The sequence below is a fragment of the Homo sapiens genome, chromosome 1 (assembly GCF_000001405.40).
Source record: "Homo sapiens chromosome 1, GRCh38.p14 Primary Assembly".
Lineage (NCBI taxonomy): Eukaryota > Metazoa > Chordata > Mammalia > Primates > Hominidae > Homo > Homo sapiens.
In genome coordinates this window covers 146,382,839-146,396,080 of record NC_000001.11, presented here as the reverse complement: position 1 = coordinate 146,396,080, position 13,242 = coordinate 146,382,839, and the positions used below count along the sequence as shown (strand labels likewise).

General features: G+C 47.0%; 2 long non-coding RNA genes across 5 annotated transcripts in view; one reads left to right on the top strand and one right to left on the bottom strand.

The window, feature by feature from the left end:
* Positions 1–13,242, top strand: part of LOC112268274 (uncharacterized) — a 43,044-nt gene that overhangs the window by 23,776 nt on the left and 6,026 nt on the right. The window lies entirely within an intron of this gene.
* LOC100996756 (uncharacterized) lies at positions 7,992–9,534 on the bottom strand. Its single transcript, XR_159169.5, has 2 exons — positions 8,759–9,534; positions 7,992–8,535 (listed from the first exon to the last, which is right to left on the bottom strand). It is a non-coding gene; the product is annotated as an uncharacterized LOC100996756 (long non-coding RNA).

Here is a 13,242-nt window from a genome sequence, read left to right as displayed (position 1 = left end):
CCAGCCTGGGCAACATAGTGAGACCTCATCTCTAAAGAATACATATATATTTTAAAATAAACATATATAATAAAATATATACTATATTTTATTATACATAATATATAATTGTATATATTTATTATCATATAATTTTAATAAAATATGTATATATTTTATTATGTATAATAAAATAAAAAGAAACAATTACAGATGTTGGAGGACTTTAAAATATCTCAGCCAGGTGCAGTGGTTCAGGCTGGTAATCCCGGCACTTTGGGAGACTGAGGCAGGAGGATCACTTGAGCCCAGGAGGCTGAGGCTTACAGTGAACTATGATCATGCCACTGCACTGCAACCTGGGTAACAGAGTAAGACTCTATCTCAAAAAATAAAATAACATGTCTTAGAAGTTTAGCTGTCCATCCTATGCAACTGAATATCCGTGTGTAATGTCCACCATGTCCTTCTGTTTTACCTCCCCCTTACTTAAACCGGAAAGGCACTTGTCCCCATATTAGAATATCATTGGCACATGGCCGGGCATGGTGGCTCATGACTGTAATACCAGCACGTTGGGAGGCTGTTCAGGAGTTTGAGACCAGCCTGGCCAACAAGATGAAACCTTGTCTCTACTAAAAATACAAAAATTAGCCGGGCGTGGTGGTGCAGGCTTGTAAGCTGAGATCACTCCACTGCACTCCAGCCTGGGCAACAGAGCAAGATTGTGTCTCAAAAAAAAAAAAAAAGGAAAGAAAAGAATATCATGGGCACATGTATAGAAAGTTTGTTAGGCCAGGTGCAGTGGTTCACACCTGAAATCCCAGCACTTTGGGAGGCCAAGGCAGGCAAATCTCTTGAGCCCAGAAGTTGGAGCTCCTGGGGGCAACCTGGGCAACATAGCAAGACCCTATCTCTAAAAAAAAAAAAAAAAGTTGGATTTGATGGTGCACACCTGTGGTTCCAGCTCTTCCGGAGGATCACTAGTGCCAGGGTGGCAGGGGCGGTGAGTTTGCAGTGAGCTGAGATCACGCCACTGCACTCCATCTTGGGTGACAGAGTGACACCTAGTCTCAAAACAAAAAGTAGGGGAGGGGAGAAAATTTGTTGTGTCAGCAAGTAAATGAAGAAAGGGACATTATTAGAGTTGAGAAATAAACTGGAATGTGATTTGGTACCTCTCCCGCAGAAGATAAGTTTGCTAAATGTGCTGAAATTAGAAGCATTGTATAAGGCCCTGTGCAGTGGCTCATGCCTGTAATCCTAGCACTTTGGGAGACCTCGGAGGTGCCCGAGCCCAGGAGTTTGGGGACCACCATGGGCAACATAATGAAACCCTTTCTCTACAAAAAATACAAAAGTTAGCTAGGCCTTTCGGATGCGACAACTAATTGTGCCACAGAGACACAACCCGAGTGGCTTAGGACTCTGGGAAGATATAATCTCCCCCGTTTATCTAGTGATCGATAATGCATGAACGCTTTAAAAGCTGGAATAGGCGGCCGGGCGCGGTGGCTCACACCTGTAATCCCAGCACTTCGGGAGGCCGAGTCGGAGGGACCACGAGGTCAGCTGATCCAGACCTTCCTGGCCAACAAGGCGAAACCTCTGTTTCTACTAAAACACAAAACATTAGCTGGGCGGGGTGGCGCGCGCCTGTATTCCCAGCTACTCCAGAGGCTGAGGCAGGGGAATCGCTTGAACCCGGGAGGCCGAGGTTGCAGTGAGCCAAGATCGCTCCACTGCACTCCAGCCTGGCGAAAGAGCAAGACTGTGTCTCAGGGAAGAAGAAAAACAAAACAAAACAAAACAAAACAAAACACCTGGAGCAGGCGTCCCTCAGTGGGCTCTAACCACCAAACTTTAGATTAACAGCCAAACGCGCTAACCGATTGTGCCACAGAGACACGTAGTGTACCTTCTTCTGGGCGCTGTAGGAAGGGTGCACTCACCAAACACTCCCCAACCCTCCCATCCTCAGAGCCCACCCGGCAGTACAACTGTGAAAGGCCTTGGAAAACTGGAGCGATGAGAGCGGTGAATCGTGTTGGTCTCATTGGAGACCCGCAGATTGGGAGATTCTGGAACCAGGACGACCTTGCCCCTCACCTGCAGCAGAAGCCCCCGGAAACGCCCGGCCCCGACCCGGACCTGAGCCGCCTGGGGGCCCAAGGGAAGCTGAACGCCCGGTGGGCTCCCGCGATGGTTCTTTGTGCCGCCTTGACCCAGTGAGGCAGCCTGTGCCCACCCTGCCCAGTCACTTTTGAGGCCGCTGCGGAACTTCCGCTGCCATCTTCGGATCCTGTGTCCCGCACGGGGGCTCCACCAGGGCAGGGATGGTGGTGAGGGTGGCTCGTGGGTCCCCTCGCGGAGAGCAGGGTCTGGCACTCACCAGCGCGCACGACGACTAGGACTTGTTGAATTAATCCATCGTCACCTTCAGCTTTTAGTCCTTTGAAGAGCCCCGAAAATGGAAATCATGAAATATTTTACCATGGGGAAGTTTTGATTTGTTTTTGAGACAGGGTCTCGCTAGGTCGCCCAGGCTGGAGTGCAGTGGTGCAAACACGGCTCACTGCAGCCTCGACCTCCCGGGGCCATCGTCGCCTTTAGCTTTTAGTCCCTTGAAGAACCCCAAGAATAGAAATCATGAGATTTTTCCATGGGGAAGTTCTTTTTTCAAAGCGTTTATTCACGTTGATTTCTAGGCATCCCCCGGGGAGGGCAACGGGCAGGGCCTCCAGTGCACCTTCTGCGCGGTGGAGCCGCGGGGGCTCAGCTGCGCAGTGGTAGGGTCCTGGGGCGGGAGGGCAGGAGGGAAGGGAAAAGCAAAAGCGGGGAAAGAAGCCGGGGAGCGGTGGAACACACATCCAGACCTCCTGAAAGGCTCGTGCAGAGGCACAGGCTGGATCTTCTGGAGGTGAGAATTGTTTTTTGTTGTTGTTGTTGTTGAAGCAGAATGGGGAGGAACTGAGGGGAAAATTCAGAGAGAACATGAAAGAGCTCCAAACGCGAGGACCTATAACTCCCCAAGAATAACATCTTCCAGAAGAACTAGACAGAAAACTGGGTGTCTGGGAACCCTGAAATCCCTGGAGGAGTAGCATCATCATGACCCTCTGTGTTCCTTTTGGCGAAAGGACTTGCTTCCCTTGTTTGTACAATTGTTTGTGTTTGTTAAATAAATAAAACCCTTTTCATATATCTTTGAAAGTACATTGGCTCTATTATTTTATGATTACAAACAATGCTGCAGTCATCATTCTTGTACACTTCTCATTGGCCACTAGTGTATTTCTATAGGGTAGAGGCCTGGAGAGCAGTTGCTCCAGCACAGTGATTACATGGTTTTTATATCATTCCATGTTCTTCTTCCCTTTGTTGGCTTATTAGCTATAACTCTTTCTTTCTTCTTGTCCACCTCATCCCCGACTTCTTTCCCTGCTTTTGCTTTTTCAGTGATGGCTTTAGGGTTTCCAGAATACATCTTTATCAGTGCCATCTAGTGACATTCTACCTCCCCTTCTGGCCATTATGCTGGTGTTGTCATGTAATTTGGTTTTAGACATGTTATAAACCCCACAATCCATTATTATTGCTTTTGTTTAATCGGTCAAATTATTTTAAAAGATTTAAATAAGAAGAACATATATATTTAACTGTGTACATACCGATTTCCAGTAGTCTCCATTTCTTTGTGTAGATCCAGTTTTCTGTCTGGTATCCTTATCCTTAGGCCTGGAGGACTCCCTTTGCATTTCTTGTCGTGTGGGTTGCTGAATTCTTTCTTTCTTTTTTTTTTTTTGTATGTCTTTAAATGTCCTTATTTCAATCACATTCTTGAAAGATTTTTCATTTTGGCATAGAATTCTAGGAAAACTTTATTTCTTTCAGTACTTTAGGATGTTGCCACTTTGTTTTTGTAAAACTGGCATAAAGCGGGCTTCTTGTACTTGTTATATAATTTTTGGAATGTGTATTTAAATTAAAAACATTAAAATGGGCTGGACAAGGTGGTGCACGCCTGTAGTCCCAGCACTTTGGGAAGGCGAGACAGGAGGATCGCTTGAGGCCCAGAGTTGGAGACCAGTGTGGGCAAGGCAGCAAGACCCTGTCTCTCTGTCTCTCATATATATACATACACATATATATATATATATGTATATATACATATATATATACACACACACATATATATATACACACACATATATATACACATATATATATACGCGCTCATGTGTATGTATATATGTGTGTATATATATGTTCATATATATGTATATATGTGTGTGTATATATATATACATATACACACATACATACATACATCGTGAATGTCCTAGATTCATCCTAAGTTCCACCAACAGTACACTTAAAGTAAAATGTGCCGAACCTGAGGGTCAAACCTACCTGCTGACGTGTAATTTGTGTTTGTGAGACATTCTCAACAGCATTTGCTTTCCCCTAGCATAGTGGTTTTCGTGTTTTCCTCACATCTGAATGTCTTCAGTGCAAAACCTGTCAGAATTCATTTCCTTTGCCGAAAGATTCTAAAATACTTTCTTTTTTTTTTTTTGAGATCAGCGCACTGCAACTTCCACTTCCCAAGTTCACAGGATTCTCCTGCCTCAGCCTCGTGAGTAGCTGGGACTACAGGCCTGAGCCAACACAGGCGGCTAATTTTTGTATTTTTAGTAGAGACGGAGTTTCACCATGTTGGCCAGGCTGGTCTCAAATTCCTGACCTCAAGTAATCTGCCCACCTTGGCCTCCCAAAGTGTTGGGATTACAGGCGTGAGCCACCTTGCCCAGCCTAAAATACTCTTACTTCAAGCAAAAGTGCATTAAAAACTAACTTCTCAGTTGCATCCCTGGAATCCATAGAAAGCCCGGGAGAGACAATCAAGTGCTACAGGATCAAGCGCTAAACAGGGGAGGACAAAGCATGGCTTCCTAACTAGGAGTCAGGGCAAAGTTATCTGCTTTGGTCTCCAATGGAGACCGGCACTTGGTTCACCTGCGACGGGAGGACCCGGCCCAGAGGAGGCGGACTTTCTCTTCATGGTGCCTTCAGACAGGAAATCTCCTAGGATTCCTTTCTTTCCCTTTGATCTACTCCCAACGCTCCCTTTCTGTTTCTTCAAGACCTTTTTTGGATCCCTACTGCGCAGGACCTAAGGGGCTGGTGCCCTTCCCTACCCTCCCTGCCTGGGTGTCTTCAGCACCCATGCTCACCCAGAACGTTACTGCCTGCCAGAGAGAGCGAGAGGACCAAGGAGGGCGGTGGGTGCAGTGGGAACCAGAGTCACCGTGTGCCTGTGCCTCGTGGGCTCCTCGCAGATTGAATAAACGCCCCCTGAAGCTTCTCTGCAGGTCACAGGGAAGGGGAGGGTGGCTGCCGACCCGGCGGGAGAAGCGTCAAGAAGCGTCGGGAGGACCTGACCCTACCCCTGGACCTTGAAGACAGGCCTGGCCAGGCTGATTTTAATGGATAGGCCCAAGGAAAAGGCTCAAGGGCGGCCCAAACCCCGACCCTGAGATTAAGGCTTTCAAATGTCTGAACGTTTTGATGTTGGTCAGTAGAATCCATCCCACCTTTATCACGAGACTCCTTTGCCAAAATTCAGAGATCTGGGATTCCTGCTGGTTGCCGCACAGAAAGCCAATCACCGAGACGCTTATCGCCAAGGAAGGCACTTTAATAGGGTGCTGCAGTGGGGGAGATGAGAACTCAGTCTCAAATCCATCTCCCTGACCAACCAAAACCAGAGGTTTAGATGGCAGGGAAGAAATGTTAACAATGAGTAAGAAAACAGGAAATAGGGAGGAGCAAGGAAGCAATCATGATGAATGAGGGGTCCCAGCATCTCATTTTCTGGATGAATTTCAGTACTTTGATAGCTTTTTTGACAGGCCTGAAGGTCATTTCCTGAGGAAGGAACTCAGATAAAACAAATACTAAGTTTCTTTCTTTTTTTTTTTTTTTTTTTGAGACGGAGTCTTGCTCTGTCGCCCAGGCTGGAGTGCAGAGTGGCGCGATCTCAGCTCACTGCAACCTCCGCCTCCCAGGTTCATGCCATTCTCCTGCCTCAGCCTCCCGAGCAGCTGGGACTACAGGCACCCACCACCACACCCAGCTACTTTTTTGTATTTTTAGTAGAGACGGGGTTTCACCGTGTTAGCCAGGATGGTCTCGATCTCCTGACCTCGTGATCCACCCGCCTCGGCCTCCCAAAGTGCTGGGATTACAGGCGTGAGCCACCGCACCCGGCCAACAAATATTAAGTTTCAAGCTGTAAGACCAGAAGGGTCCATTTCTAGGTTTATCCAAAAAAGCTACATATGGGACTGTGGGGTGGTTTTCAGACCAAGAAAGAAAAAGATTGTGCAGACCAAAGTCTGCAGTTAACCAAAGAAAAAACATAATTTTCTGACCAATAGGATGTATGGGATCAGAGAATGACCAGGCTATAGAAGAACCGTTTTTTGTCCTGAGCATAGGGGAAGGATGAAGTTGCACCAACTAAGGTGGAATTAAGCTGCAGATGGGGAAAAATCTGGATTTTGGTTCAGAGCCCTGGGGTCTTCCTTGAAAGAAGAACCCTGTCTCGGTTTCTGCCTCTCTCTGAGTCCTTTTGGAGGTTGAGGATGCTGAGGTCTTGGTGCTTGGCCCCCTCTAGCCCTGAGTACTTCCCCTCCTGCAGGGCAACCTGGCCCAGTGCCCAGGTCCCAGCCCCAGCGACCATTTCCCCCTACTTTGCTCCTAGCAAAGGCCTGAAGGCCTAGCGGTTCCTGCAGAACCGCTGTCTCCCTCTTTTGGATAAAGCAGAGAGGAAATGACCTGTGTGGAGGGAATCAGGGGCTGCATCTGCACGGAGGAGCTGAGGCAAGTAGGGCAGTTGCGGTCTGTCAATGTAAAGGACATTTGCCATCCAGGAGGTTGGGCTGTTATTATTAGTTTTTAAATTCGTCAATACAAACTTCAGGGAAATGTGTCTTCTTACTTGTAGGAACCTCACAAGACCTCCCATCTTATATTCCAGGGAGAATTGCTGCGTATTACACGAACACATAGGTGAGACTGCCATTCTGACCTGCAGGCCTCGATGCCCTGTGCAGGGGCACCAGGGCACTGGCAAAGCCCTTTCCATACAAAGAGCAAGCGTGTTATGTCTACAACCCAATGGCACCAGTTCCAAGTACAATTTCTACTTGGTTCTATGAGCTGAGTACACGTTCCCCCCAGCACAGAAATCCTACAAACTCCCATGAATGCTATAGGGAAAAGCAGGGGCTAGCCAGGTGTGATGGATCATACGTGTAATCCCAGCAGTTTAGAAGGCCAAGGCAGGGCGGATCACTTGAGTCCAGGAATTGGAGACCAACCTGGGCAACATGGCGAAACTTCAACTCTTAAAAAAACAAAACAACAACAACAACAACAACAAAACAAGAACAGAAATTAGCCGGCTGCGATGGCTCGTGCCTGTGCTACTCCAGAGGCTGAGGTGGGAGGATCGCTTGAACCAAGATCCCACCAGATACAGTGAGACTCTGTCTCAGGGAAAAATACAAACAAAAAAAAGAGGCTCTGTAAGAGGTGACTCCGGGGACAATGGAAAAACACTAAGGTTTTCAAGTGGTGTTAAAAGCCAGTAGGCCTTGGGGACCACTGAGCAATCTACAAAGCAGGGAAGCCTAGATCCCTGAGCTCTGCCCACCAAGTACCACCACAGCTAACATGAGAGACCTCCCCCACAGAGACTGAAATTTGCCTCCTGAGGAAACAAGTGACTACAGACATCTGTCCCAGGACAGTAAACAAGAAAATAAGGTCTCACAAAAACAAAAACAGCTGACCACACCATACAATCACTGAGACTGGGCCTGCGACTATAGATGAAAAAAACAAATGCTGTCTATTATTCATACCATGAAAGACCAGGGGAAAGCACGAACGCAGTCCCCTACTACTGTTGCGGGAATCAGGAGAACAAAGAGACCAACGGGTGGAACAGAAGGATTTTATTGAATGCACTCGGGCCTAGCATGAGCCCCGAAGAAAGACAGGGGGCTTGACTTTTATACACACTTCTGAAAGGGGGTTGGCTAGTTTGAATGGTGCAGCAGGAATTTGATGGTGTGAAACTCGCGGGGCAGGCAAGAGGGCTTACAGAAGCAGAAAGAAGGCAGTTAATCAAACTGTGACAGGTCTTGCAACGCAAGCACAGCTGGTAACCTTGCAGCTGCACTGAATGGAAATCAGGAACTTACAAAACTTGAATAATGACAAGTGGCAAGGGGGAAAGACAAGGCAGTAAAGACATTTGTTGTTTTTCCTCTTATACTTGCTGGGGGCGGACCGTGTTGACAAAGTCGCTGGAAATCACTGTCAGAGATGTAGCTTTTAGGATAGTATTGTCCAGGATCTGCTAGGCTCTATCCACTGCAGGCCTTGGTGGGGGGGAGGGGGGCCCTGCCAAGCACAGGAAAACTTGTCTTTTCGTTGTAACTTCTGCTTCGTTACTACAAATTACACAGCTGAGCTTCCCACCTTGGAGAAAATGACAGAACAGCACACTTGAAATGAAATAGTTGAGTCGGGTTTAAAAGGCATTTCAGTAACCATAATATCTGCCCTGCCACATAAATAAGATTGCACCTATCTCCGCCCCGCCACAGCTCCATACGCCTCACCCTTTAAACGCACAGTCACTTGCCCCAGCACCACTCCAGCCAATCCCCAACCACCCCCAGCCCTCCTAGCCCTCACACACAGCTGGGACTCTCAGGTCCGACCAGCGGTCCTGAACCCGCTCCCACGGCACGGGAAATCCTTCGTGGCGAAGCAGCAGCCCCTGCGCTGCCTCATCTACATAGAAACGCCCTATCGGTGATGTCACCGACAGTGCCTTTCCCAGTCTCCTTCTGCTCTTCCGCCCCACCCTCCGCCACTCAGCCTACCAACCCGCTGGGGGAGCCGACGGAGGAAGTGACGTCTGCTGTCCCACCTCTCCCTCCCGCCCTTGTCCTTTCCGGAGGTGCGCCCAGACCCCGCATCTAGTATCCCCCAAAGAAGCGACTACTTAACCTGTGTCCTGCGGAGGACCCTTCTGGCGGCCAGCTGGAAGCTGTGCGCCGGTCTTCAAATAGTGGCTTTTAATTCGCAGACTAGAACGTTTAGGATTACAAAGAAAACCGTTTCCTTTCAAAGCTGTTTATCTTTGTGAAGTAGCATTTTGCTTAAAATTGGAAGCCTTTGACTATCAGAGAGAAATCACATCTATGAAACTAGAGAGGCTGCTCAGATGACTGCAAACCAGCCATCCTTGCTGGTTTTACCAGTAGTAGTGTTATAAAGAATGTTGTCCAATTTCATGAGTCTCGTAGGTTTTTTTTTTTGTTTTTCAAATACAGTATTGTACAAAAAGGAAGCAGAATGTGGTTGCTGTCACAATGTAATGCCTCTCTGGGCCTGAGAATTTGGAAAGGCTCACACTCCTCATAAAAGTTCTCTTCTTTCCTCATTCTCCCTTTAGATAAAAAGTCTTTTTTTTTTTTTTTTTTTGAGACGGAGTCTCGCTCTGTCGGCGGGATCTCGGCTCACTGCAAGCTCCGCCTCCCGGGTTCACGCCATTCTCCTGCCTCAGCCTCCCGAGTAGCTGGGACTACAGGCGCCCGCCACCACGCCCGGCTAATTTTTTGTATTTTTAGTAGAGGCGGGGTTTCACTGTGTTAGCCAGGATGGTCTCGATCTCCTGACCTCATGATCCGCCCGCCTCTGCCTCCCAAAGTGCTGGGATTACAGGCGTGAGCCACCGCGCCCGGCCAGATAAAAAGTCTTTCTTGAAAGCATTGTCGATCAAAAGCTGTATCTCTCCTTGCCAGAAAGGCTCATTCCCAGATAGTCCTGTCCCACACTGGGGGCAGGGGAGGAAAGGAGCCCTCTCACTAAGGAATTTTTAACAGTGCCCAGAAGCTGAATTGGCATCACAGAATTGGGGGCGGGGGGGGGGGGGAGACAGAGAGATCTCGGCCAATTCTATAGTTGCTGTCACTTGTTGAATCATCTCTAGTCTTCAGAGTACCATGAATTTCGTTTCTCAAAAGAAGTAAAACAATGAGAAATACATAACATTAATAATTTGACTAGTGGAGATATAATGCACACAAGAATGATAATCACAAAGAGAATCTATATCCCGAAACAGTAAGGGAACCTATTCCATTAGGCAGCCAACTGAAAACATCAGGGAAAACATCAAATACCATTTCTTCTTTAGTGATTTCTTGTAGCCAAGTGGCTTCTTTTCTAATTTTTTTTTCTAGAGAAGGTTCTACTGCATGGGAAACATTTATGTATATGCAACAAAAGGTATTTGCCACCACACATACATCTCCCTGCTCAGCTAAATATATCATCTAAAGTGATGTGATTACCTAGTACAACCTTAGCCAGTGAATAAATAGCTTTTTATTGAGCTGCAAAAGAGGCCGCAGTTTCGTCAGCAATGTTTTTCTTTCTTTTTTCTTTTTCTTTCAGAGACAGCATCTGTCTCTGTGGCCTAGGCTGGAGTGCAGTGGTGCCATCATAGCTCACTGCAGCCTCCAACTCCTGGGCTTAAGTGATCCTCCTGCCTCAGCCCCCGAGTCACTGGGATTACAGGCCAGAGCCACCATGCCTGGTTTTCATCAGCAGTGTTTCCTGAGGTTACAGAAAGATTTATAATCCTGGGAAGAAACACTCCCTTGAAGCAAAAGTGCTCTCCCCGCAAAAATGCAAGGAGCTATCTTCTTGCTAGCCGGGCAGATAATTCTCAGGTTTTGCCGCACTGAATCTCTATCTAAAATAGAGCAGTGGTCATGCCTAGTGAAAAGTTAGAGGGAACTCACCCAATGTTGGGTTTCTTCAGATATATGTGTGTATATATATATATTTATATATATGTGTGTATATATGTGTGTATGTGTGTGTATATATATATATATATATATATATATATATATATATATATATCTCCAAATATCTTAAAGACACTGCCCTTCATCATTCCATGCCATTAGACATTTATAGGACCATGCATGGTGATCTCCTCCACACAAAAATAAATGCTGGTGCAGAACAGGTAAGTGAAATTGAGTACATCAGCTTTTGGGCATTTTAAACCATGGGTCAGAAATGTTAGAGCAAGAAGGCAGGTTGACAGCAAGAGGGAGTGTTTTTCTTTCAATTTTCCAATAGCAAAGTGTTGTTTGCCGCTGTCAGTTCAGAGTGAGGAGACAATTTGTTGTTGTTGTCTGGTTTTGTGGGGGTTTTTGTTTGTTTTTTAGTTTGTTTTTGAGACAAGGTCTCACTGTCCCCCAGGCTGGAGTGCAGTGGCATGATCAGGGTTACTTCTGCCTTGACCTCATGAATTCAAGCAAACTTCCTTACCAATCCTCCCGAGTAGCTGGGACTACAGGCATGTGACACCACACCCTGTGGTGTGAACTGCGATTTTATATTTTCAGTTGGCTCCCTAATGGAATAGGTTCCCTTACTATTCTGGAATACAGATTGTCTTCGTGATTATCATTCTCGTGTGCATTATATTTCTACTACCCTGCTAATTTTTTTCTTTTTGAGACAGAGTCTCGCTCTGTCACCCAGGCTGTATTGCAGTGGCAGGATCTCAGCTCACTGTAGCCTCCACCTCCCGGGTTCAAACGATTCTTTTGCTTCAGCCTCCTGAGTAGCCACCTGGCTAATTTTTGTGTTTTTAGTAGAGACAGGGTTTCACCAGGTTGGCAGGCTGGTCTCGAACTCCTGACCTCAAGGGATCCACCTGCTTCAGCCTCCCAAAGTGCTGGGATTACAGGCATGAGCTACCACGCCTGGCCCTCAAACCATTTTAAGTAAGCAAAGACAGATTTGTCTGGCTTTTTAGTACATTGCTGAATTATCCTCCAATCTATATTTTTAGGAAGGACCTGGGGAATGGCAACATGCACATATTTGGCTAAAATGTGAACCTTTCATGTTCTGCTTGAAAATCCTTCCAATTTGCCTTTTGCAACCAGTTAGTGGCCTTGCCTTCTTCACCAGAATGTGAATTAATTGATAAACGTCAGAATATTTGGGCTCAAAGGTTTCGACAGTTAAGTCGAATTTTCTGCCAAAGCCTATAGGATCTTGGAGCCTGCTTTAGAAATAGAAGAACGAAATGTGTTTAACTTTAGATCAGGGAAGTCCTTTATTTTTTTTTTATTTATTTTTATTTATTTATTTTTTTTGAGATGAAGTGTTGCTCTGTTGCCCAGGCTGGAGTGCAGTGGCGCGATCTCGGCTCTCTGCAAGCTCCGCCTCCCGGGTTAACGCCATTCTCCTGCCTCAGCCTCCTGAGTAGCTGGGACTACAGGCGCCCCCCACCACGCCCCGCTAATTTTTTGTATTTCTAGTAGAGATGGGGTTTCACCGTGTTAGCCAGGATGGTCTCCATCCCCTGACCTTGTGATCCGCCCGCCTCCGCCTCCCAAACTGCTAGGATTACAGGCGTGAGCCACCGCGCCCGGCTATAATATTCTTAATTCACATTTTGGTGAAGCGGTGTACACAATGGTAGGCTCCCCTCTTCCTGTGGGTTTGGGTTTTACCTTGAAAGGGGCTGTCAGAACAGAAGTTTCAGGGAAGGGGCCAGAGCCCTGGGGACTTTCCTCAGGTGATGGTGATGGAAGAAGAGGCAAGGCAGGACAGGAAAGCTCAGGTAAGAAAGACTATGCAGGTGCAGGGGCAGGAGGAGAAGGAGCAGTTGGAGGCGAAAGAGACAAAGCCTCCTCAATATTTCTCAATTCAGAAAACGTGTCAGTTTACCTCCTTAAGCTTACTTCCTCAATGGAGGCAATTTTCTTAGTTCTTTTTTTTTTTTTTTTTTTTTTGAGATGGAGTCTGGCTCTATTGGCAGGCGGGAGTGCAGTGGTGTGCTCTCGGCTCACTGCAACCTCCGCCTCCCGGATTCAAGCAATTCTGCCTCAGGCTCCCGAGAGCTGGGACTACAGGAGCCCGCCATCAAGCCCGGCTAATTTTTGTATTTTTAGTAGAGACGGGGTTTCACCATGTTGGCCAGGATGATCGCCATCTCTTGACCTCATGATCCGCCCGCCTCGGCCTCCCAAAGTGCTGGGATTACAGGCCTGAGCCACCGCGCCCGGCGCAATTTTCTCAGTTCTTTTAGAAATTTTAGAAATTTAGAAATTTGGAAATTTCTAGGTCTCATTGCAAGTA